Source organism: Homo sapiens, chromosome 14 (genome assembly GCF_000001405.40).
Source record: "Homo sapiens chromosome 14, GRCh38.p14 Primary Assembly".
In the NCBI taxonomy this organism is placed as follows: Eukaryota; Metazoa; Chordata; class Mammalia; order Primates; family Hominidae; genus Homo; species Homo sapiens.
This window is the reverse complement of record NC_000014.9, coordinates 88002212-88029209: the sequence shown is the minus strand read 5'-3', so window position 1 is coordinate 88029209 and position 26998 is coordinate 88002212. Positions and strand designations below refer to the sequence as shown.

At 38.9% G+C, this 26998-nt stretch overlaps 1 protein-coding gene and 2 long non-coding RNA genes across 3 annotated transcripts in view, besides 2 other annotated features; 1 reads left to right on the top strand and 2 right to left on the bottom strand.

Annotated features, from left to right (window-relative positions):
- The window catches only part of HISLA (HIF1A stabilizing long noncoding RNA), a 62797-nt gene extending 58137 nt beyond the window's left edge, over positions 1-4660 (bottom strand). The window contains exons 1-2 of the long non-coding RNA NR_046094.1: positions 4541-4660; positions 3729-3803 (exon numbers count right to left, since the gene is read on the bottom strand). This is a non-coding gene — a long non-coding RNA (HIF1A stabilizing long noncoding RNA). The remainder of the gene's footprint in view (positions 1-3728; positions 3804-4540) is intronic.
- On the top strand, positions 2898-10605 carry LINC01147 (long intergenic non-protein coding RNA 1147). The gene is made up of 3 exons (NR_110121.1): positions 2898-3122; positions 5434-5535; positions 10507-10605. It is a non-coding gene; the product is annotated as a long intergenic non-protein coding RNA 1147 (long non-coding RNA).
- A 3793-nt stretch (positions 10606-14398) lies between these two features.
- On the bottom strand, positions 14399-24075 carry GPR65 (G protein-coupled receptor 65). Its single transcript, NM_003608.4, has 2 exons — positions 23988-24075; positions 14399-18821 (listed from the first exon to the last, which is right to left on the bottom strand). Exon 2 carries the CDS (start codon positions 18360-18362, stop codon positions 17349-17351), a length of 1014 nt encoding a protein of 337 aa, NP_003599.2. The 5' UTR covers positions 18363-18821; positions 23988-24075; the 3' UTR covers positions 14399-17348.
- Positions 22631-22690: an enhancer, noted in NCBI's record as "active region_8834". NCBI's record gives its function as "activates an Ori minimal core promoter by ATAC-STARR-seq in GM12878 lymphoblastoid cells {active_cell/tissue: GM12878}" and the evidence as "EXISTENCE:reporter gene assay evidence [ECO:0000049][PMID:35858748]".
- Positions 23491-23660: an enhancer, noted in NCBI's record as "experimental_38639 CRE fragment used in MPRA reporter constructs". NCBI's record gives its function as "activates a minimal promoter by MPRAs in K562 erythroleukemia cells, with activity observed for both the introgressed and non-introgressed 14:88471979 variant alleles {active_cell/tissue: K562}" and the evidence as "EXISTENCE:reporter gene assay evidence [ECO:0000049][PMID:34662402]".
- Positions 24076-26998: the final 2923 nt, after the last annotated feature.

Genomic DNA, 26998 nt, shown 5'->3' with positions numbered 1-26998 from the left:
TTGCCCTCCTTGTCTGTAGTACCTCCACTGGCTTACCATCCAAAAGTTTTTAGAATGCTTGACTTATCAACACATATTTCACACAGCATTGCCACACACCAAGGGAACTGTTTTATAAGAATCAAGGTAATGAGTGCATGAAACAGAATCTAATAATTGTTCCTTGTTCCCCATCACCCAGAAGCAGCCATCCTAAGAGAATGGTAGAAATCATATTAAAGGTTCATTAAGATCCCAGCTTGGGGACAACATCTAGCAGGGTTGAATGTGATCTTCCAGGATATGGCATATACATTAAGCCAATGACCAATATATGGTTTTGAATCCCCAGTAGCTCAATTATATAAAACTGGGAACCAAGTGATTACGGAATTTGTGTTTACTATCTTCCATCTTGCAACTTTAGCCTCTATTGGATTAGAAATCTTAATTGTGACTGTGGATGGGAAAGAGAATAATTCTGCCAGATAAAATGTAAGGGTCCCCTGAATTTGAAGCTGAAAATATCAGTTGAACTCCTCATGCTTATGGGCCAGCAGGGAATAAATAGTTAGCACATCATTAAAAGTAATAGCCCCTGACTCTGCTGAATAGCTAGAGTTGCTGTTACCAGTGAGGACAAGAAGAAACACATCTGGAACCCAAGGGTTTCACAAGGGTATCTCTTGGTGCTCCTGTGTCCAGCGATAACAGATTTGTACATAGTTTGTATTGTACTTACATAATTGTATTGTCAAAAGCTGATGCGTAATTGTATTGCAACAACTATGGCCCAAAAAGGATAAGGCAAATAAAGGTTCAAGCCTCTCAACGATGAATGTTTGTGTCATCCCACCGGGAGACCAACACAGATAGCTAATGTGCTGGCCCATAGTGAGGGAAATATAGAATTGCTGGAAGAGGTTGGAGATAAATATAACTTATGACTTCAGATCCAGGTTCAGCTATGGAACAGAAGTTTGTCTTACTTATCCTCAATCAGACTCTGGTGGACCATTCCCTTGAAGGGGACCTTGTGACAGATTGGACGAGTGCTTCCTCTCTTGTAGAATAGATAAGGACAACTTATTCTCACAAAAATGGGGGCCTATATTGTAGTATGCAATTTGGATATAATGATGGGGGAAAGTGGCCCTGAATAGTGCAGAAGGTGGACTGTATTATGCACCTTTTATGTGCTAATTTATATGCTTTGGCTCACCGATTTCATTCAAGCTGCCACTGAGATAACTTGCTCTTAGGGTATATTCTGATCACTTGCATGCAAGCGCAACCTGACATTATTGCAACTTCTCACCTCCTTCCCTGGGGCCACCCTGATGATACTTATATAAGAACCCTGTTGCACTCAAATATGTGTTATATGGAGGTGCAGGGAGGTTCATGCTCTGTGAGACAAACCTTTGACCAATTGGAGGCTGCAGCCAGTGGCTAAATTCTTCACTTTTCTCTGTGATTAAATTATTACAACTTCTTAGAAGATGGTCCTATGGGATTGAGCAATCAGTCATACCTGGAAGCAGTTAGACCTATAATGCATCCTCATATTACTCCCCCTTTTTCTCTATTCTACTCCCTTTCCTTCCTCATTCCTGCTCCCTGGGATTGTACAATCTAATTCAGGCTGGAATATTATCCCACTTCCCAATCTGATCCACTTGTGGCCCTCTGGTGATTCCACTGCCACAGTGAATGTTCCCTCCCATTGTACCATAACTGAAATGTGGCATCTTCTGAGGACACAACTTTCCCTGCAGCCCACTCAAATGAAGACTCCTGGCTCACCAATACTATTCCCAGACCATTCTTCTTCCTTGTTCCTTTGAAATGTACGTCATCCAACTAAAATACCTTCTTGTCCTTCTAAATATCTTTTGTACCTGTCCATTTCTTGCAACCCAAGATGCCACCTGCCTAGTTCAGGTCTCCACTGAATCTTGCCTGTTTGTTTGAACAGCTCTCTCTTTCCACCATCAAATAACTCTCTGCTTCTCATTTTGCCTCCCTCCACCTATATTGGACACTGAGACAAAAGTAATCTTCCTAAAGCACAAATTGGATCATGTCATTCATCTACTTACAACTTTTTTGTGGCTTCTTATTGACTTGTTTCTTTCCAGCCTTTATCTTCTGCCACTTCCTCCCTCACCATCAGCTTCAATAACACTGAACTACTTTCATTTTCCTAAAATGGAGCCTGTCCTTTGCATGTGCTGACCCTGAAACAACCTCCCACTCTTGATCAATGCCCACTCAGTCGTTTAGGTCTCAGAGGCAAGTGTCCTGGACGCTTTCAAGATTGAGCTAGTAGTGGACATCTTATCCAACCTTCTTACTTAACTCTTACCATAGCACTCACTACTTTGTAATTTTTGTCTCTGGATCCTGTGTCAGACTTAAGGCTTCCCAATTCTCCTAGCATCTAGTAAAAATTAAGCATTTGGCAAAAATTCATTGCAAGAATGTCTAGATGAATTGTTTTTCTTTTCTTCCGATTAACTTGTTCACCATCTTTTATAGTATCATTAAAAAGATGAATGTACATTTTTTCTTATGTATTTTCCCAATGTACTTAAAAAGTAAAAATAAATGGCACATGAACAGCATGAAATTGACTGGGACCTTTCTCAGGCACAGTTTATATCACTGGGCTAAACCGCTTACAGTCAGCATTTAGGAAAAATAGATTAAATTCCATACATAGACTTATAATCATTTATCATATTTGTATTCCTTTTACATTTTCATATTTTTAAAATCCTGTGCCATATTTTTATCACAATAGTGTATCACAAAGCTGAACACACCTCCTCTTGAACATTTATCACTAGTGGCCTTGAATCTTATGTGATATCATAATCAGAATTTCTACTTCATAGTGACTGATAGAGAGCAGCAGTCTCAGCTGTAAAAATAGAGTCCCCAGGGAATACTGATAGCCTTTTTCCAATAAAGCGAAATCTATTTGCAATAATAGGTATATGCAAAGACCTCCTGAAATTACAGGAGCAAACTCCTTCCGCATCTCGACCTAATTAAGATCCGTTACTCAACAGTGATCAGTCAGATTTTACTGTAAGAAGGAAGAAAACAAGGATCCTGCTAGAACAACATGGAAACAGGTAGGCTATATGTATGGTGGTTACAGTCACAGGCATTTGGGTTCAAATTCTTGTTCTGCTTTTAGCCTCTCTAGCTTTCCATCTCTTATTGTACAATGGGGAAAATAACATCTACTTCATAATATTGTGGGGAAATTAAGTAAAATATCAGATGTGGAGTTCTCAGCATATAGTATCCTCTCAACATACCCATGGCAGCTATCACTGATGAATTCCCAGAAACCTGGGACAATAAGGAAGTCTATTAAAAGAGCCTTAGCGACCAGCATCTTCAGGGAGGGATGGGGGTCAAGGAGCCAGAGGGAGGTGAGAGAGGATGAAGGGAGAGTGACCATTTTCTCTAAAGTAGTTTTTATTAAATTTTAACAGCTTCCAACCCGGGGTTCAGAACTCTAGGCAATGACCTAGTAGTCAGTAAGGCAGGAATAAATTGTGATAAGCCTGGTTCTATTATGGAAAACATTCTCAGCAAACTGCAGGGGAGAGATAGCAGGAAGATCCATGGCTAATGCACTGCTTTTAAAGAACTTTCATAACTCACTGGACACATAGGGATGTTATGTGCTTTTGCCTAGTCATGAACAGAAAATAAACACAGTTACTTACTTGTCAGGCAGAAAACTTGATTAATTTTTTTAAGCAGTAAGCAGAATCATAGGAAATCATTTCCTTCATGCAAGCCTGCAATAAACGGGAGGTGCATTTGCCACGAATTCATTTTGGTGTTCACATGGTAAAAAAATACTGCCACATGTGGAATGAGCCAAGTGGGCTTTAGAACTGAAGGGGACCAGCCCCTCCACACCTGTGGGTGTTTTTCGTCAGGTGGGACAAGAGACTGAGAAAAGAAATAAGACACAGAGATAAAGTATGGAGAAAGAACAGTGGGCCCAGGGGACCGGCACTCAGCATACGGAGGACGGGCGCCAGCCCTGGTCTCTTGAGTTTCCTCAGTATTAATTGATCACTATCTCTACCATCTCGGAGAGGGGGATGTGGCAGGACAATAGGGTAACAGTGGGGAGAGGGTCAGCAGGAAAACATGTGAGCAAAGGTCTCTGTGTCATAAATAAGTTTAAGGAAAGGTGCTGTGCCTTGATGTGCATGTACACAAACATCTCGGTGCATTAAAGAGCAGTATTGCCGCCAGCATATCTCACCTCCAGCCATAAGGCGGTTTCCTCCTATCTCAGTAAATAGAACGTATAATCGGGTTTGACATTGAGACATTTCATTCCCAGGGATAAGCAGGAGACAGATGCCTTCCTCTTATCTCAACTGCAAAGAGGCCTTCCTCTTTCACTAATCCTCCTCAGCACAGACCCTTTACGGGTGTCTGGCTGGGGGACGGTCAGGTCTTTCCCTTCCCACAAGGCCATATCTCAGGCTATCACATGGGGAGAAACCTTGGACAATACCTGGCTTTCCTGGGCAGAGGTCCCTGCAGCCTTCCGCAGTGTATCGTGTCCCTGGGTACTCAAGATTAGAGAATGGCGATGACTTTTACCAAGCATACTGCCTTCAAGCACTTGTTTAACAAAGCACATTCTGCACAGCCCTAAATCCATTAAACCTTGAGTCAACACAGCACATGTCTCTGCAAACACAGGGTTGGGGCTAGGGTTACAGATTAACAGCATCTCAAGGCAGAAGAATTTCTCTTAGTACAGAACAAAATGGAGTCTCTTATGTCTACTTCTTTCTACATAGACACAGTAACAGTCTGATCTCTCTTTCTTTTCCCCACGTAGAACTCTGAAATAAACATTGCAAAAAATCATACCCATAAAAATATTAATCTGTATTTCTTATGCTCATATTTTAAGGTTGAAAAGATCAATATAACATTAGTACTTTATCACTCTCAAATACTTTTATATCCAATATTTCATTTGCACTGAATAACAGATACCATTAGGTGGGCAGGGGAAATATCCTCCTATTAAAGACAAGGACACAGTCTCTGAGAGGTTATCTCATTTGTTAAAGGTCACGTAGCCTGTAAATGAAAGAACAAAAGTTCAAACAAACCTCATGCCTCCAAATCAAGAGGAAGCCTCAAGGGACCACACTGATACTGCTGTTAGATATGTTCACCGTCTCATGTATTTTGATGTTTACACAGGCCATTTTTAACATACATGTTTAGCAGTCAATGCCACTGGAAATCAGACCAGGGCATGTGTTTAGACATCTTATGGGTATTTCCCTGAATGAGCCCATGAATAGAGTGTAAAAATAGATAAGAAACTGACTTCCTGTTTGTTTCTCTGCTCCCACTTTTTGTCCTTCTTCCGTTGTGCCCTGGGAGGCTGATCTTAGGACCTACAACAAAGAGATTTCTCACTGGCTTCCTGGTGGTTCATTCAATAGGGAATTCCTGCAGCAAGTTGGAGGGAGGGAGGAGAAGCAGGTATGGATTTTTGTTTCTTTCCCTAGTTCTCATTTTAATGCCTGGCCATAGGCTGGCTATGCCTGGGGGTCTGCAGACAGACTTCTGTGCCTCCAGCTTTGGTAACCACCCCCTCTGCTTGCCCTCTCAGAGCCAGGGGCCTCAGGGTGCCCAGATGTTCTTATCCCCAGTTCACGCATCATCCTTGTGGCTTCCTTGTACCCTGCCCATCCTTTGTAAATATCTCTTTACTAAACTTTCCTCAGAATACCTGAATTTGAGTGATCTCTCCATTGCCTGCCAGGATCCTTCCTGACATTACCTTCCAGAATGAATATTTCTGAAGGAGTCTATTCTCTATGCAAAGAAACTCAATTTCTCACCATGTATAAAAGGAAATAAACATCGTTTTCAATGGAAAATAATGTAGGGGACATGTCTGGTGTCACAGGTGTGTTTGGACCACACAGCCCAGAAAGATGTAGTCATAGAAACAGACTCTTTTCTCTCCTTTGTTTGGTAACAGCATCCTGATTTTCCCTTGAGAAACGATCCTCTCTTCTCCTTACAGTCTCTGTTATTATGGTGGGACCGACCCTACTCTCCAGGGCAGGCATGGGGCCCTGCCCTGGCTTATGAGAAAACTATACACCCCTAACCACAGTGATCAGTTTAAAGATGGGAAGGAACAAGGGCAGGGGAACCTTTACATTTTCCAGAGATACCAAGAAAGAGGCTCTCTTCCCGCTGGATTTTCTAATCTGTGGAACCTGGGCCTGGAGATGCTGTTAACCATCTTTGACATCATATAAAAGCCAAAATAAAATAGCAAAAGGTGGAACTGAGAGATGGTGAAAATGTCCTCCTGGCCACAGAGGTTGAGCATTTGAATTCAGCCATACCTGAAAGTGTCCCTGCACTTTTCTCCCCTGGACCAATAATCTTTGTGTGTGTGTGTGTGTGTGTGTGTGTGTGTGATCTGTTGTCACCTTTATCCAGAAAAATCTACAGTAAAGAAAAAATTTATGAACTGGGAGACTTGGAATTGGGCTTAGATCCCTCACCTATAAAATGAGGGTTTTGTACTGGATGTTCTTCAAATGCCTTTCTAGAGCTAAACATGGACAAGGATCAACAGTAGCCAATCTTCCAGGTCAGCTAGAACTGAAAGAACAGTTATGCCTCAAAGTGAGCTCATTCTCTGTTCCTAGCACGTTCACTGCAGCACTGCTGTCCACCCAATAAAGGACAGACATCATTACAAATAAGGGCCCTACCCAGCCCTGGTCAGCCCTATTGATAACTCCCAGGAGAGCTCATACCATCTTCCCACTTCAGTCCAATTAACCCAATACACTATATAATTTTCATAATACCTCTCTTAAAATCTAATCAGCACACCAAATGTCCAAAGAAATATTCAATGTTTACCAGAAGTGAAATGTGGTGATAGTTATTGCGATTGTTAGCATTGCATCTTTATGTCTATCCTCCTTGAAAGGGACTCAAAAAACCCTTCCAAGCCCTCCAAGTTTCCACCAAGTAATATCTTCCTTCATGCACTGTGGCTTTTTGATACTTTCCTCTGGCATCCATTTGATGAAAATTATTTTCATCAAAGGATGCCAGAAAAACAAATGAGTTTTAAAGTAAAGATGAAGGAAAATTTTGAAAAGTACTTAATTTCCTCATTATTCATCCATTCATTGTTCCACTATCCAATGACCAAGGCACTGTTTCTGGGCTGTTCACAGTAGCTCTATTTTCTGCTATTGTTTTTTATTTGATGAAAATTTAGCTTAAACAAACTAGGCTTATGTAAAATCAATGTAATAGCACAATCCTGCATAATTTGCCAAGCATTTGATGAGTTGAAAGGTGACATATTTGCACACTACATTTAGATGTGGGAAAGAAACTATCATCATTGCGCCCTGAAAACCTCATTCCCACCATTGGTGGGGAAATAAAAACCCTAAATTTGTGCATAGAAGATATTTCCATGTCTGCTGGCTTAAATAGTCTTTTAAAGACTTGTTTATGTCTTCTGGATAAAGACTCAATCAAGTTTAAGTTCCATGCCCCTCTTAGTACTGTTTCTCGTCTTGGAGAGCCACTCACTAGAAGGCACTTTCCACAAGAGGTGCCTCTCACAAGATGTAGTCTTCCATAAGATGGCAACTGGATGGAGAGGAAAGCTTACCTGTCCTCTTTGCTGTGAGGATGTCAACCTGCTGCTCCTCATACTGTCTTCTGGTCCCCTCTGGCCTTTGAGATGATGTCCTGTCTGTCCATTAGGCATCCCCCTGGCAGAAGCTTCTGAGACCACAGTCAGTATAATTGGTGATCTGGTGGTCTGCTGGGGGTCTACTGTGTCCCCTCCAGTTATACTCCCTTGTCTTGGTTCTTGCTAGAGCAGCAGCTCCCCATGGTCTCAGCTGCCTCCTCCATCCACCCTGGGCCTTGGTTCTCCACCCAGCAGCCTCTGCCATGGGGTCAAGTTTCCCTCCCACTGGGATCCATGGGAGGCCCACTGGCCCTCATCTCTCTTCCATACTCTTCTTCCTCTGGGAGCAAGTGACAATGTTTGGATTCCTTCCCTATCCCACAGCAGAGGACCTATTCCCAGTTATCTTTTCTTCTTAAGTATCACCACCATGGTATACCACCATGTCGATTTTTCTGTTCTGTTGCAATTTTACTAATGCAGGGGTGCCCTAAAAGGTGATCTCCTCCCTGAACCCCAAACAAGGCATGAGTCCCCTCTGCCGCTCTGCTTCTGGGTTTCCTTGCTGATCTCTCTTAATATGAATCCGGAAATATGTCCTATCTCTTGCTCTCGCTTTCTGTACCTCATGGATTCTTCGTAGAATCAGAAGGTATATCTACTTCATCTTTTTGTTGTTAAAAGAAAAACTTTAGCCAAATTAAATTTAACAGAGTTTAATTGAGCAAAGAACAATTTGCAAATTGAGCAGCCTCCTGAGCCACAGTAGGCTCAGGGACTCCAGTGCAGACACATGGTGGAAGATTTATAGATAGAAGAAAGAAAGTGACATACAGAAACTAGTGTGAGGTACAGAAACAACCAGATGGGTTGCTACTTGATGTTTGCATCATTTGAACACAGTTTGAACAGTTGGTCACCTTTGATTGTCCAAGACTCAGTGATGACACAAGAGTAGACTACAGTCTGAGTGCAACTCCATTTAGGTTATAGTTCATGATGTACACAGAAACCTTTAGGCTGAACTTAAAATACACAAGGAGGCAGCTTTAAGCTAAACTTGATTTAACACTGTCCAGTAGGGCATCACCAAGTAATATCTTCCTTCATGCATTGTGGCATTTTGATACTTTCCTCCTTTTTCCTGGGCAATAAACTGGGCTTTAATGATGGAAAGCCTTTGGGAGAACAATCACTTATATGGGAATGGAAAATGTAACAATTTAATGTCTTCTAAATAGGATTCCTGTTACATCTAGAATATGTAAAACTCTGCTAGTTTCTAGGAAGGGAGCTGAGGATAGGCTCAGAGGGAATTAAGACGTGAATTAAACATGATTTCTGTTCTTAAATAGCTTTCAACTTGGAGGAAGAGATGGATATGAACACCATTGGCCAAGGCATGGCATAAGAACCAAATGTGGCCTGCACCACTGGGTGATGAGATCAGACAGGGGTGAAAGATCACATAGATCCCTTAAAAAGCTGGCTGCTTTCAGTTTGCTTCTTCTCAATTCTGCAGGTTAGAGACCACAGCCAGAAACCTGATTAGCTGCAGTCTTTGAGCCTAGACCTTAGCTTGAGAATTTCTGTCTCAGCAAACATCAGGTTGGGCCTGAACTTGGGGGTGGGAGGGATCCATCTCTTCACTGGGTGGGACTGTACCTTTTTTTCTGGTAGATGGCAATTAATAGGAGGTACTTAGGAAAGGGCTGCACTCTATTTGAGAGCAGTAGTTCTCAAAGTGTGTCCCACTCACATCAGTGTTATCAGGGAACTTGTCAAAAACACAAATTCTCAGGCCCCACCCTAGGCCTGCTGAATCAGAATCTCTGGGGATGAGGGATTGAGCAAAGAACAATTTGCAAATTGAGCAGACTCCTGAGCCAGAGTAGGCTCAGGGACTCCAGCACAGCCAAATGGTGGAAGATTTATAGATAGAAGAAAGAAAGTGACATACAGAAAATGGTGTGAGGTACAGAAACAACCAGATGGGTTGCTACTTGATGTTTGCATCATTTGAACACAGTTTGAAGAGTTGGTCACCTTTGATTGGCCAAGACTCAGTGATGACACAAGAGTAGACTACAGTCTGAGCGCTCTGTCTTAACAAGCTCTCCAGGTGATTCTCATCCATACTAAAGTTTGAGAACCTCTTCTCTAGACTCTAAAATTATGTAACTCCACACCCACACCCAGGGCCCAGCAGCACTGGCATTACCTGAGAATTTCTTAGAAATGTAGAATCTCAGGCCCCACTTCAGATGTATTGAATAAGAATCTTTTAAACTAAGATTCCTAGTTAATTCTTATAAACATTAAAGTTTGAGAACCATTGCACTAGGTGATTGGACCTATATTCAACCTGGATTCTAGATCATAGGTGGATAGTATCATTTTTTAAATTATTATTATATTTTAAGTTCTGGGGTACATGTGCAGAACGTGCAGGTTTGTTACAGAGGTATACATGTGCCATGGTGGTTTGCTGCACCATCAAACCGTCATCTACATTAGGTATTTCTCCTAATGCTATCCCTCCACTAGCCCTCCAACCCCCGACAGGCCCCGGTATGTAATGTTCCCCTCCCTGTGTCCATGTGTTCTCATTGTTCAACTCCCACTTATGGGTGAGAACATGTGGTGTTTGGTTTTCTGTTCTTGTGTTAGTTTGCTGAGAATGATGGTTTCCAGCTTCATCTATGTCCCTGCAAAGGACATGAACTCATCCTTTCTTAAAAGTTATGTTTTCTTCTCTTTTCCAGGGAGGCCACCTCCTGTCAAAGCTGGGACATCTGAGAGACAGTGGTCACACAACAACTCAACTGCATGTGCACCTAAAACAGTAGCTTATTTTCTCTGACTGTTTCTTCTTCTTCTTCTTCTACTCCTTATTCTTATTCTTCTTTCTGATTTACCAACCTACTGGGTATCAGTGCAAAAAATTATTTTACTTGCGAATTAATGATATCACCACGTTTTCTTGCTTAAACTGTCTTTTTAGGTTAGCTCAGCTACTCTGGGCTAAACATTCAGTCTTTCAGATATACTCCACTTACCTTAGCTCCTCCCATGGTGGTTCCGGGGTTGGAGAGGCTTACGTGACCTTATGGTAGCAGGGCAGAGGCAGGGCTATGCTGCTCATGGGGCATTCTGTAAAAGTAAGATGTGTCTTCCTTATGATACCTTCCTTCCAGTTGTTGGAAAGTTGTCGTGCTGCTTTTATTAGAGCAAGCATCTTGTTGCCATATGCTTTAAAATGGACATAATAAATGTGCAAATCTTCAATGTCTGTTAAATGAATGGTGCCCTCTTAGACATGGATTTCTTGTGCAACACTCAACCTGCACAACTGTATGCCAGTCTCTATTTTTGTACCACAGTAAAGTGCATGCATAAGGCTGAATATGGGGTTTTCCCCAGAGGCTTGCAGCTATCTTCAGGAAAAGCAGACTATTGGCATTGACCATCCTGGCAACTCTGGAAATTCTATTGATCTCAGGCCATGAGGATCAACATTTGTCTCCGACATCCTCATTTTAACTCTTCTTTGCCTCCTCCCCTTAGACCACTGCGGTCAGGAGCCCAGGCTTTTTCATTTCCCTGAATAATAGAAGCTTCGTTTACATCATGATTGGTTCTCACTACCCCCTGGCATAGAGAAAACTCCAATTTTAAGTCAGCCAGGCCTACTTCTTGATATGAGATGGGAGCCTAAGAGGTTTAAAAAGTTCTTTTATTTCCCCATAGTGTCTGGCTTTTGAGACTCCACTCACTAGTGACTCACAAACAATGCTGACTTGCTTTTTCTAGCTAAAGTTTACCCTTTTCCTGAAGCATAAAACACACTGTTTCTGTGTGTAGGCCCCACAGGGCAGCAGTGTTTTCTGGATTTGAAAAATTTAACAGAAAAGCTCTCAAAAAATTGTATTATTTTATCTGTCTTTTGTGGCAGTTTATTGAAAGCTATAAGAGGAAGCCAAAAACCACCAACATTTTGAATTTTTCCTTCCAAAGTCTTGATTCCAGACCCTTGGTGGACATTATCTGAGTCTCGGGATATAGCAGGAAATAGTTTAACCAGAGATTTTGCTACCACTTAACATGGGTTACTAACATCACAAGCTAGCTCTATCTTGGCATTGCCTTCTCCACTGCAGCTCTTCAGCTCTGCCTATTCAACAGTCTGGAGTCTGTAACATCACCCTCACTTCCATGTTCCAAATTCCATTAGGATCCTTCAGGATTCAAGGAACAAAAATACCAGATTCACATTAAAATAATAAGGAAGTGTATTTGGTTCATGTACCTGCAATATTCAAGACTCTCTGTATCTTTAGGACACAGCTCCAGTGTTGTGTGATTCCCTGAGCTCTCCTTTTTCCCATGCATTGGCTATTTCATGTTAACAAAATGGCCACAAGGATTCCAGGCATCTCATTCACATACCACCACATCCAGATTAAAAGAAAGAGTCTTTGTCCCAGAATCTAAGCAAGTTCGGTCACATGCCCACCACTGAACCAATCACTGTGGCTTTGATTGACTTATTTAGGTACTACGTGCTCCATTGCTAAAGCCAAGAACCATGTAGGTCTGGATGTCAGGCATTCCTAAAAAGAGGCAGCTCTGAAGTGTCAGCTGAAACATTATGAGATGTTACATTTAGAATGGAGAGTTGATTTCTCATAAAGGGTTACAGCCTGCAGAGTGGTCATTTTGACAGGCTGGGAAACGTAGCCTCTGGTAGAAGCCAGAAGGCAGGTACATTGAGGGAGGGGAGGATGGAACAGGGATTTATGCTGAACAGGTTAGCCAAGTATAAATATTTAGCAGGTTATAAGAGTAGCTATAAATATTCATGAAGGGTGTCCTAACGCGTGTGCACTGAATAAACATGCATGTTGCATGTTCACTTTTGTGTGGAGACTTAACATATAAATGCATTACAATTAGGCCTTGTATGTCAAAAGGTGAAGCAGAGACACAGAGGCATTCAAGTGCGCAGCCTCTGTAAACCAGCCAGAACCAGTCCATGGTTGGTGGTCTTTCATCAAGAGAAAGTTACCAAAATCAACCTCTTGTCACATCAGAGCTGTAGTGATGGCTTGTGGAACAGAGGGGTGAAATCAGGCTGCATCTGGCAATTGGTGAGCTGTAATTGTTTCAATATTTCTTATCTCGAGGCCAGTGCTTGTTTAGCTGCTAGAGAAAAAGAAAAATCTTGTGGCAGGTGGAACATAGTTTATTCTTTAAGTACGGGGGTATGTGACTTAACTCTTGCTTGGCGTGACCTTAGGTCTTGTTTACAATTTAGTATCTTATAGCCATAAAGAGTCCATTTTGTCAGTCTTATGATCTCCATTTTAACATTAACACTGGTCAGTTGTTGTGTCTAAGTTGTAAAACAGAGTGGGTGCAATGAGGTGTGTACAAGCTCCCATTCTGTCATGGCTAGGAACTCAGTTTTTAAGGTTTCTCTGGGGTCCCCCAGCCAAGAGGGGTCTTTTCAGTCAGTTGGGGGGCTTAGAATTTTAGGATTTTATTTTTAGTTCGCATGAGGATATACGACATTTTGAAGGAAACTCTACCTGATGCACAAGAATCTGGGCCATTAACTGGCTCCTATCAGGTCCTGCCCTGTGCCCCAAGAGATTCAGGGAGGCCGTAAAGGAATCAAGCAACCACTAAAAGGTTAGGCAATATTACCATCACTGGTGACTATAAATCAAAGACCCCTTTCATTTTCTTAGCATCATGTAAACCTCCCGATTCTGGTGTAAACCAAAAAGGGGAAGACAATCCCATAATGCCTGAGATGGAATTTCCTATAGCTTGGTGGTATGTGGGCTGGGATTTACAATTAAGCTGATAAAGAAAATGTAACAATGTTTTCTCGCAGCACTGATTCCATGAACAGAGATTCATGCCACTGTGTAGTCTGCAACAAAAGTAAGTCAACTGATGAACAGCTTACTAAAAATTTAAGGAAGGGATATCCTAAAAACATTTCTCATGAGCAAGGAATGATAGCTGGAAATTAACATGACAATTCTTGTTACTACTAATTTAAGATGAATAAAATGTCATTTGCTAATGTTTGTTCCTACTATTTTAGTTCAGCAAATGTAAAAATTATTAATAACAGCTTTCCTAAAGGGAGACTCTTTCTCTTTAACCTTACTTTCCCATATAATCTTAAAATTTTCCACCAGGAATACAAATAGCCCTAAAGGTTTTAGGAACTGAATCCTGAGGTTAGGACAAACTGTAAAACTGCAGCATTTTTAGTTTGTTTGATTAATTAACTTATTATTTATTTATCCAACAAACAATTGTGATTACCAGTGAGAATACCCTTAAAATTGTCCTTTCTGGAGATCAGAACAAGAATTGTTTCTAAATTTTCAATCGAGGTTTCCAAGTTAAATTTTTTGTTAGTGTCAACAGTCTTGGAGGCAATACCAGAAATTTTAGAGTAATTCTGAAAATAATTCTTTTAGAAGGATGCTTACAAGCTCAAGCAAATATCTAACAGCTTTCAATGAAATGCTGAGAACTAAAGTTAATATTTTTAACAGTATTGGCAAATCAAGTCATTGCAGGGTAAGCTTTCTTGCTTGTGTTAGATTTGAAGTTCAATGAACACACATTTCCTAGATAAAGAAATTTATAATTTTATTCTAGAATAAAATATAGAATTTTTATTCTCACATTGAATGATAATATGGAGACCTCTCTAGCTCATCCCTTTATGGCTATGTACCTGGATTGCTTTTTGAACATCGAATTGTAACATTATTTGAGGAGTCACAATCTATTTTTTAAATAAAAATGCACCGGTGCATCATAAAGAGCTTCAGAAAATTATAGGCAAAAGAAAAGTAAATTACAGGCCATTATATTTCTAAAATATGCAAATGCTAGTAAATTAGAACATGATTGTATTACTGTTCTTTGCAGGGAACAGATTTAACAATTCAAATACAAGATGTAATTTTTTAAGTGCTGAGATCTAACAATAAATTAGAAATTAAAATTATACATATGTTGAGTTACAGCTTGAATTTCATAGATAATAATTTCATAATAGTAGACAAAAATGCAAACTGCATATAGCTTAAATGTTCTCTTTCTATTTATATGAAAGTTGGCCACTCTTTTCTTACATGGGTAAGATAAGTATACAAAGACATATTTTTAATGCTATATCCACATTCCTGCAAGAATTAGACAACTTAACCTATGTTCTTTTACATATGGGTGGAACAATTTTCACCAGCTTTTAAAAGTTTGGAAAGACACATGGAATTTAAGCCAAATGAAATGACCTGATGATTGCCGAGCTTTCCAGAGAGAAGAGAAATGAATAGTGCAAATGAGATTTCAGCATTTTCCCCATTCATTTCCAGTTCCTGGGAGGGACTTCTTGTTTCTTGGTTGACAAAATATTATCCTGGGTTCCTCCGCTCTTCTGGAGTGGCGGCTAGTGGTGAACTATTAATAAGAGGTCCCGTACAGAACACGATCGTCACCTAGTGGCCACAAACAAAACTCCTGCATGGCTTTTCCTGGCCAGCCACAAGTGATGCAGTAAGAACAGCATCTTTGGAAGAGAAAAGAGGTACCATAACCCCCACATCACTTCCCCCTCACCCCAGATTCGATCCATTTTCCCATTGCAGGCTTATGACTCAGCCTCCCAAGTAGCTGGGATTACAGGCACATGCCACCAGGCCAGGTCTGGCACATTTTTGAATTTTTAGTAGAGACAGAGTTTCATCATATTGGTCAGCCTGGTCTCCAACTCCTGACCTAAGGCGATCTGCCCACCTCAGCCTCCCAAAGTGCTGGGATTACAGGCATGAGCCACCGCGCCCGGCTCAATATTTTGTTTTTTAATGTGAGGGCACCTCATGTTATCAAGACATTTGCTATCTGATCATTTTGGGGGGAGTGGAAAGAACAGGCAAGAAAAGGAAAGCAAAGAGAAAAGGAGAAGGGTAGAAAAATCCTTAAAAATATTTTGGTGAGGAAAATGTTTACTGAGTGTCTATTTACAACGAGGCAATTTACACAATGAGGATTCAAAAGAATATGTTGTATCAAGACTCTCTTTGCCAGGCATGGTGGCTCACGCCTGTCATCTCAGCACTTTGGGAGACCTAGGTGGGATGATCACTTGAGGTCAGGAGTTCGATTGAGACCAGCCTGTGCAACATGGTGAAACCCCGTCTCTACTAAAAATACAAAAATTAGCTGGGCATGGTGGTGGGTGCCTGTAATCCCAGCTACTTGGGAGGCTGAGGCAGGAGAATCGCTTGAACCTGGGAGGTGGAGGCTGCAGTGAGTGGAGATCGCACCACTACACTCTAGCCTGGATTACAGAGCAAGACTCTGACTCAAAAAAAAAAAAAAAAAGAACTCTCAAAATATTCTAACATTCTAAGTCCAAAAAGAAAGATATAATAGAACTATTTATTTGTCTATGCATTAAACTTCTGGTAATTTCAGCTATGTTATACCCAGTTATAAATTAAAAAGAGATCAAAATAAAACTCAGAGCCTATTTCCTTTTCCTTTATATAGAAATCTTTCAAGCTCGGTGACTAGGCTTTTGAACTAATGTAAACTTCGTGAGGCTTCATGAGACCATTTCTTTCATAGCCCCAGTACTTAACTCAAAACCTAGTTTATGGAATGGATTCAATAAATATTTGTTAATGAAGCCAAGTGATTAGATAAACAAAATGGAGTATAACCATGCAACAGAATACTATCAGGCCATAAAAAGAAATGAAGTGCTGATACATTCTACACATGGATAAAACTTGAAACCATTATACTAAGTGAAATACGTCACAGTAGGCCACATATTGTATAATTCTATTTATATGAAATGTTCAGAGTAATGAAAATCCTTAGAGACAGAAAGTAAATTAATAACTGGCATGGACGGGAGAGCAGGGAGCGACTGCTAAGAGTATAAGATTTCTTTGGTGGGTGATGAAAATTTTTTGAGTGTGGTGATGGTTGCACAGCTCTGTGAATATACAAAAAATCACTGAATTGTACACAATACAAAGTTGAATTTTAAGTTATGTAAATTTTGTGTCAATAAAGCAGTTATTTTATACAAGATAAAAAAATAAAGATTTGTTAATGAATGAGGAGATTAGAAGCAGTATTCAGTAGCTGGGGTTGTTGGAGACCGGTACACAAAATTAGGAGACCTGATGGCTGACACCCTGGAGTCCAAAGAAAGAGTGAGAAAAATCATAAACCCAGACACAAAGGAAGAAACAGTCCCCTACATACTTTACTGACTCTAAGGGATTATAGCACAGATACAAAAACAATTGGCATTAACAATAAAGACCCTGAGTCATTAAGAAAATATTGATCTTTGTTTAATATACATCATTTAATAAAACGCAGGGAGGGAGCTGTACAATGCAGTTTTAAGATATTTTTATTGGACTGGATTAAAACATCACTCTGAGAACACTTAGTCCCCTCACATGCTAGATTTCCTTTTCAAAATGTAATCTTGATGATATAATAATGCATAACTTAAACTTCCCTTCCCTTCAAAACATCCTTGGTTCTACTCAAGGACCTCTAATTCCATAGTATCTTTTGTAGACACAGAAAGTATGCGTTTTCTTTGTCTTTGTGATGTATTACACCTCCCAGTGCAGAATTTTAATATATTCCACATATCATATCTTCCTGTTTCGGTTACAAAACAGTACAGAATTGGATCAGCAACACAATTTAAACTTGTTAATGCAACCGTGATTCTATACATTGTGTAAGTTCGCTTCCCAGAATTGCTGTGGTCTTCGAAGTTCACAGCATGCTCTAAAATGCAGCGAATCAGCAACATCACATGAAAGGGAGTAAAGCATAAGACAAAAGTAACTGTGATGCTGACAAGTAGTTTTATGATTCTCTTCTTTTCCTTGTTTTCCGTGGCTTTATTGTGCCGCACAGCTTGGTAGACTTTCCGGTTGCAGATCAGGATGGTGACCAAAGGTATTGCATAGCCTGTACACGTCCTGAACAAGTTGAGGTTGATTTGCCATTTCTCTAAAGGGTATTTGTCATAGCATAAAGTAAAATTAGACTTTTCGGCATCGCAATATTCAACAACTGTTTCATCTTCCCACAACATGACAGCATTGAAGATGGTTTCCAATATCCAGATGGACAGGCTGACCATGAGTGCAAATCTTCTTGTCCTTAGGAAAAAAAACTTCAAAGGGTAGACAACAGCCAAATACCGATCAACGGCAATGCAGGTGAGGAATGCTGTGCTGCTGTAAAAATTCATGTACATGAGAAAAGCACTCCCTTTGCACAAGGCAGGAGAGAAAGTCCAGTTGTCTTTATTCCAGGTATAATCAATCCATAAAGGGAGAGTTAATGCATAGAGTAAATCTGATAGTGACAAACTGAAGAGGTAAATTCCTAGTTCACTTTCCTTCTTTGCTTGCAGGAAAGACACACACAGAGATCCAATATTGGCTGGAATGCTGACTATAATCACAAAGATGTAAACAATGGGAAACAAATAGTGATCCAGGTCATGCTGTTCTTCAATACATGTGCTGTTCATTTTTTCCTTTTTAAGGTAGCAATTATATTAGTTCTTAGAAAGTAAACAGAGAAGTCTTGTCTCTTTGTAGTTTGTTTTGAACATCGAATTCGCTTTTACTGAGAATTCTTTTTCAATTTTTCTTTGTTGTCTAAAGTTCTAATTAATTCATCAATGCTTTTAAAGGGTGGATGTAGATCAATTTTTACACAGATATCAGCAGTTGGAAGTAAAAATCCAGGCTCCTGGCAATTGGCTAAAGGGGTCAACTGAATTTAATAAACAGAAGTCCATGTGTTCATTATCACAGAACGCTGACAAACAGCCCACAAGCATCAACTGAGGCATTTGTAAGTGTACATAGAGAGTTGTCCGCAATTTGTTTTTCTTCATAAATCTCACAGTAGATTGGTGCAAACATGAATATACAAGGCTTTGTTTGCACAGAGATTGGTATTTCCTTTTAAAATTCCTTTCCTTCTGTAATGAAAGATGAATTAAAATTGTTTAGATGTTTAAGATGCATGACTTCATTACAATCAGGATTTTGAAATAATCCCTTTTTGTTTCATGTATTGAAGATATTGAAAATGCATTAAGTTACAGTGAAGGTGTTTAAAATGGGAAAATTATCTTATTGACTTCAGTAAATAAAATCAAGTCAAGACATTTTACTTATATCAAATAAGAACTACCTGAGGCATGTTAGATTAGAGCGAATTATATTTCTCAATGGATATAACCCAAGAACACAAAACTCAATTTAAAAAGTCATTTCAGCAGCTAAAGATAAAAAATTCTGTTATTTGTCTGTGATTGGTAAATACTTTTGCATGTGTGATCAACTGTATGGTTATGTGATTTCAAATTTCTAATTTCATATTCAATCTAGGTGTACGGCACTTTCAAAAATCACCTTATTATCCAAAGAAATACTATAATAGAAATACAATAAAGTTTTAGAATTTTAAAATGTAGCAGTTTGTTAAGCCTTAGCATATAATTAGACAATCCTACTTCTGTTTATCTTTTTATTTCCTTTGTCGACTAACTCACTTTATTTTTCTTATACTTTTATAAATGAGAGGACAGAATGTTCTTATTCTGGGTAAAATCTTGGAATCATTAATTTCCACCTTTATATCTGATGGTTTAAGAGGTTAGTGTCTTTTTAAAGCTATGATGTCATAGATTCACATAAGAGTAAAGGTTCCATCCTTCTCTCCATACTGGAGTAGAGAAATACTTTGTCTATATCCCTTTGCTGCTGAGGCCTACTGGTGGCTGAGATCATTTACATGGTGAATACCTTCACAGAAAGCTTTCTAGAAACACTATTCAGGGCACCAGAATCACTCCCTCCCAACTGTTGATGAATCCTGAGCACAAAAAGACCTGCCATCACAAGTCACAAGAATTCTACTAGCAGAGTAAATCATATGGGAAAATATATCATATTTCACTCTTAAACAGGTAACTAAAACTCCTGAAAACTTTTAGCTTTATCAACCTAAAAAACAGGAATAAAATGTGAAAAACAGCCTTTTAAATAAATAGGGAAGCTTCCAAAGGGGGGGAAAATTTGTGATGGAAGAAAGGAGGTGGGAGCTGTTATCAGGGAGGTGAGTGAGCGCCGGAGCTCTGGATGGCCTGAAGACATATGTAGATCTGGAGGAACTCACTAGGGATCAGAGAAACTAGAGACAAAACTTGGGCCTATGCAGGTAAGAAGGGGTCCTTGACCATCCCAAACACATGGGATCCAGAACCTCTGCTGTCAGGGAAAGGGTGAACTAGAAAATAAACAAAATAAAATAAATTCCACAGACATTTGCAGACAGTAGAGAAAAGATGGCAATTTCCCTGCCTCTGCTTGGTTTCTGTGAGGAGTTACAATAAAAAATTCTACCCTAAGTAGTTGTGGCCTGTGGGGTCCTCACTTGGAAACTAGGTCTGGGTCTACATTATTAGTTTGATCCTGCAAACTTCAGGCCAACCTACATGCTCAACTTCATTAGTCATCAGAGGAATTCAAGCTAAAATTAAAATGATATACCACTACACACCCAACACAACAAATGAAATGAAAATAAGACAAAATATCAAGTGTTAGGAAGGAAATAGAACATCTTGACTCATATGCTGTTGAGTAAAAAAACACTAGGCACTTATGCATGCCATATGATCCAGCAATTCCACCTCTAGGTATTTGTTCAACATAAACGCATACATATGTTAACCAAAAGACAGGTACTAGAATTAGAATATTCACAGTAACACTACTTGTAATATCCCTTAACTAGAATGCCCACTAGCAGTATAATAGATGAGTAAATTGGGATATAGTAACACCACTGAAATCTACACCTCAATGAAGATGAATAAATTATTGCTACATGCAATCGCATGGTTGAAGATCACAAATGTAATTCTGAGTGATAAAAAAAAAGACACAAAAGAGTATGTATTATCTGATACAAACCAGGCAAAGTTAATCTATGATGTTAGGAGTCTGGGTAGTGGCTACCTCTGGGGAAAGGCTGAGTACTGTTGGAAGAGGGCATGAGGAGGACTTCTGAGATTTGGCAATGTTCTATCTCTTGGTAGGGGTGGCTGGTTCCATGAGCATGCTCAGTTTGTAGAAATGCATCAAGCTGTACACTTAGGATATGTGCATTTTGCTGCATGTGTATTGTATTGCAATGGAAACATTAAAAAGTGGAATCAAAAGGCTGTGTGAGATGGCATGTAGAGCATCTTGACAAACAAACATCTGTTTTACCCACAGATGGAACATATATGCCTTTTTAAGAAATCTGATCTTATTTCTATCCTCATACATAAAATGTAATTGAGAGAAAACAATAAATAAATAATTTACCTAATTATGAAAATAACTTCACCAAAAATAAAGGTTAACTATATATGAAAAAATAAATTCTAGGCTCCTGGAAGAAGTTGACACAGATCCCCCCTTGAACAAGTCCTCTTTAACTCAGGCCTCAAAGAATCCTACAGATAGAGTTCTAACAAATATGACCTTATTCACACACACACACACACACACACACACACATACACACAGAGAGAATAATAAGCAACTACGTGTCAGATTGAGCAGAAACAACAAAGTAAACCAGATCCACAAAACTTTAGAGATAAAATTTATATATATATATATAAAAAACACAAAATATGTTTAATATGTTTAAAGAAACAAAAGAAGGGATTTAAACACATGAGTAAGGAGGAAGAGATTAAAAAATGACAAGCCATATTTTTAGAAAGATTGAAAAAGACTTTCTAAAAATAAAAATAATAATAATTTAAATTTAAAAATAAACACAGGGAGTAACCAACTGATTAGATCCAGCTGAAGAGAAAATTTGTATATTGCAAGATAGAGATAAAGAAATAACACAAAATTATCAGCATGTTAAGGACATGGGAAAATATAAGAGATATGGAGAAAAGGTGAAAAGGGTGGCATATACATAATTGGAATTCCATAAAGATCGAAAAGAGAGAATGTTGAAAAGGCAATATTCACAAAGATGATGAGCTTTCTAGAACTGATGAAGGAATCTTGAGGATGGATGAAGAATCCTCATGCATCTTCAATCCTCATGAAATCTGCAGATTTATGAAGCTTAGAAAATCCCAAATAGGATTAAAAACACAAAAATGGAAACCTATACTTAGACACATTGCAATAAAATTGCAGTTCACCAAAGACTAAGGAAAAAAGAGCCAGAGAGGAAAGATGGACTACCTATGAAGGATGGAATTTAGACGGACAAAAGACTTCTCAACAGCGATAACAGACAGCAGAAGATTAAAAGTTCCAAATTGCTAAGAAAATATATGTCATCCTATAATTATATACTCAACAGAACTAAATTTCAAGGACCAGAGCAAGAATTAGGACATTTTCAGGTAAACTACCACTCAGAACATTTACATCCAAAATCCCCACTAAAGAAACTTCTAAAGGATATAACTGAAGTAGGAAAAGGACACTAGGGTAATGTCTGCGATGCAGGAAGATTGAATCAGCCCCCGCGGATGGGACTCTGATGCACACACAACACGTCCAACACCAGGCTCATGTGTCTTGGGAAGAACACCTGAACCATGAAAACATCCTCCCCTTAAGACCAGGACCGAGAAAGTCGGGTAATGGGCAGCATGTGCCTCTTCCTCCTTTGTCCGTGTTACTCAATAGATAGTCATCATTTTCTTTAAAAATGGTATGACAGATTAAATGAAAAAATGATTTTTAGAAAGGTTTATAAAGTTTTCAATGGAATACATTTCTCTAGCTGTAAAAGCATTTCCTGCCTTGACTTAACCACAAGACAGGATGGGTTGATGAAGCAGAGGCCCTCTTCTTTGTAGTGACGCAGAGGCAGTACAGGCTTGTGGTTAAGAGCGTGGGCTCTGGAGACAATTCGAATGCCTCTCAACAGCACTCTGGGCCCATTGGTGTTTCTTCACCTCTCTAAGTTCCAGTTTTCACATGTGTAAGTTAGTACCCAGTTTCTAAGATTGTTGTGAGGGTTAAATGAAACGACATATGAAGCAAAGTTCCTAGCACATGGGAGGCATTCACTGTACGTTAGCTGGTAATATTGTTTTAATGACATTGGTAGTCTGCACCAATCTTTGTGCTGTCCCCTACATTTTCTGAAAAGAAATCATCTTTAGTCATCTAGCCACAGCATAGCAGAAAAGCTGGAGGTGCTCAGAGTGTAATTTATATGGTAACACTTCACGTATAATACTAGGCTCTGCAGATAATAGTTGTTCATTTAATTTGGGTGGATCTGAGATTTTAGTGGAATACTGTATATAATTCCTATTACAGTATTCACATATCTTTTCAGATATTATTTTGCCTCCTTTAATCAAATTTTGAGAAAATTGTTTTTAGAACAAGCACTGAGAAATTTTGGTGAGTTTTTAATTTTTTAATTTTTACCAGATGTCAAAAAAGACAATCTACAGTATATTAAAGTATATCTATTCTTGAACAGATCTAAAAATAGTACAAATCATTGATGACGATGACCAAAAGTACAATATTTTCCTACAGTGTTATAGAAAATGCTTGCTTTCATCTATCAGTTTAATAGTTACTTATTAAGACTCTACTATATATTTCAGGCACTGTGGTAGTCACTTATTAACTAATAATTATTACTTGACATTTATTAATACTGGAAATATTCTTTCCTAATATCACATTTTTTTCTGATGGATATAAAAAGTATTTACTGGACCATTGTACAGATGAGGGATTGGTGCCAGATAGCTCTAAAGCCAGGGGCTGGTAGGCTTCTTCCTAATACTGAATGAAGTTTGCCAAAGCACTGTTTCCTGAAAAGAAAATAAAGTATGAACAACCCCCTTTTTCTATATCTATGGTTTTGCCTAATTAGTTCTAAATTTAAAGTTTGGCCCTTTACCACTGCTCAAAGTAGAGGAAACCATGTGTCTTCCTCATTTCTTTCTCTCTTATCATGCTTTGCATTACCACATTTATACAGCCTAAACCAGGAAGAATGTTGCGAACATCACTGACAATTATGCCAAAGCATGTTATCTACTTTAAAATATTATTTTATTTTTTAATCTTATACTTACCCATATTTCTTCCGGTGATGTGTTTGTTGACTGAGGAGCTTGATAAATCTGTGCCTGCATCAAGTCAAGAAGAGAAACCAACACTGCTGAGGGGACAGGAAATTGCACTCATATTTCAGCACAAACCAATGAGGAAGCAGCATCTCAATGAGAAGGGTGTGCGTTATCCAAGTTTGAACAAAAAAAGTCTCTTAAATACTTTTAAAGATGTTTTTATTTATTGTTTACTGTACTGTAATTTTTATAACTCACTTGTCTCATTGCATCTTAATTACAAGTATGTACTGATATTATATTATATGCCCTTTACTTAATGGAATATATGTTAAATATTTTATTTATTTCTTTGTTCATTCATTCATTCATTCATTCATTCACTCATCATGCCAGCAGTGTGCGGGGAGATGTATACGAACTGGCTATCAACCAAAAGCAGCTTTTTTTACCTAGTAAAGGAGAAAGACATGTTTAATAATGATTGTAATGCAATGGCAAAATGAAGAAGTACTTCAAGAGGGGTACAGATAAAATAGAATGAACCATTTGGATGTGTGAGATAGGGGAGGATATTGTAGGTAGATTCAGGGTGATAAAGTTCCTGGGACAAAAACAGAAAAGGGAGAATTGAGGCTGAGGGGTTTAATGATGGATATTGTGCTGCTTAAGGCAGGGGTTAAGGTAGCCAACCTCATACCGTCTTTCTTTTCTTTTTTTTTTTGAGAGACTAATGGGATTAGATATATAGTATTTGATTGTAGAACTATTTTCTCCTTTGATTCTCTCCTCTTGGAAACAGAGATGGCTAAAAACCAGTTGAATTAACTAGCTGAGACAAATAATTTTATGAAACTTGAAAATTTTATTTAAGACTTACATTGTTATTATAAAAACTCTTGTACTTTAGCAAGTTAAAGTTAATGCCAAATCTATAAGTGGTTTAATATGAAGTGAAATTAGCTCCTATAACTTTCTTACTATTGATATATAAAAAAGTCAGAAATATCACTTTTGAATCTTGCCCTCATAAACTTTTATTAGAAATGAAGGGAAAATATTATTTGAAAGAACAGAATTTATTTGGGATGAAAACATTTGACTTAATTTTAAAGATGTAATCAGGACATTTTGAATCTGTGTTTGTTAAAGGACATTAAGGGTTGTTGCTGGTGTTTTTTTTTTGTTGTTTTTTTCTCCCTACCCAGAGATAGAAAAGATTAGCCTGTATATAAGCAAGGCTTTCCATATTGAAGTTGATCAGGGTATATCAGGAATGTAAAGATTTTCAATACTTCCGTTGTAGGTCTTTCTTTGAGAATAATAAAACTAATACCTTACATTTATAAAGCACAGGATAGTTTATAAAGTAATTTAGCATATAGTAAATTATAAATCAATATATTGTTACTGAAATAATAAAAATTAAGTATAAAGTAAAAAATTAACAATAAATGTCTTGAAGTTTTACAAAAATGAAAAGTAACGATTTCAGTTTACTTGTGACTGTAATTCAAAGTTCTCATTTTTGCTTGGTTTCGTACATCTGCTTATCTGTGGTTTCTATACATGATATATCTTTTTTTAAGTTCGGGGTACAAGTGCATTGTTACGTAGGTATTTCATTACTCTGATGATCTCTTACTTTATCTGAATAGACTATACTTCTGCTTTTAGGGAAAGGGTATTTTCATGTCCATATCTAATATTCATGTATTTTGCTTTTCAAAAGAAAAAGATTATCATTAAGAAACATAAGAAACACAAACTTTCACTTCTGATTAAAGAGGAGAAAAAGCTGGAGCTGACCTATGCTAAAACCTTGCCAACTCTACACAATAAGAAATTTACCAGCTTTTAAGAAATTTGCTTCTTAATATGGAAAATATGGCAATACTGTATTTTCAACTATAGGGCTATCTTTTATAATGAACGGTTAGAAATTTTAAATCATTGAGTCACTGTGACATTTTAACAACATAACAATGAGATAAAGACAATTAGTAGTTATTCAGAACACTGCCTTAACGGGGTTGGCATTTCTGACCAGTCAATTATTTGGTTTTCTGTGGTCACAATCTGGGGACCCAACACTGGCCAGTTGGGCTACTCATGGGGTAATGGGGAGGAGATTGTGGATCTACCTGGTTCCAACTTCTCCATTGGGCAGACAGTGCAAGAGTGTGTTCTACTGATGAAGGGGTCCTTTGTGAGGCCACACTATCTGCTAGGTGTAATTTCACTAGCTAAAGCGGCAACTAAATATGGCAGGGTAAGATTTTGAAATAATGCTATATTTTCCCAGCCACATTTCTTTTCACTCTAGCCCTACCCTTACACAATCAGTGAGCCATTTTGCATTTATTGCCTCAAGGAAATTTCTGGCACAAGCGGGGGGGAAAAAAAGAAGACAATGTGAGTTTTGACTTTCAAAAATTCAAGGCCTTGGAAAAGACTGAGGCACAGACACTATGCTTGGGAGAATATGTGCTGAAATAAAGTAAAGCTTCCCAGCCCCCAAAACTGAAAAAGATTGTCCTGCTTGGCGGGGGTTGGGTTTAACGTTGTGAGAGAGGAAGTATGTTCAAGAGTTAGATGTGGTCAGTGCTTGAGAAAGGGGCCCTGCATCCTGATTGCTGTACTCACTTCCAAGCAAGCCCTGAGGTAGGGGTGGGTGACAAACACCCTAGATGAGTTGTGTGATCTGGGGAGGAGAGTGAACCTGTGCCTCATTTCCAAGGAGAGACTCAGGAGTATGTACCTGAGAGACCTCACTGTCATAGTTGGGTATGGTTTGTTTGTCTTTATAAAGCTGGTGTTGATTTGATTCCCAGTGTGGCAGTAGTGGGAAGTGGGGCCCAGTGGGAGACGTTTGGGCAATGGGGGTAGATCCCTCCTTAATGGCTTGGTGCTGTTCTGAGGTAGTAAGCGAGTTCTCTTTCTGGATTAGTTCTCCCAGGAATGGATTAGTTCTCGAGAGAGTGGGCTATTATAAGAGCCTGGATACCTCTCCGGCC

What these genes read in the sequence shown, in the direction of transcription:
- GPR65 (NM_003608.4), bottom strand. Translation starts at nt 18,362, where the DNA reads ATGAACAGCACATGTATTGAAGAACAGCATGACCTGGATCACTATTTG.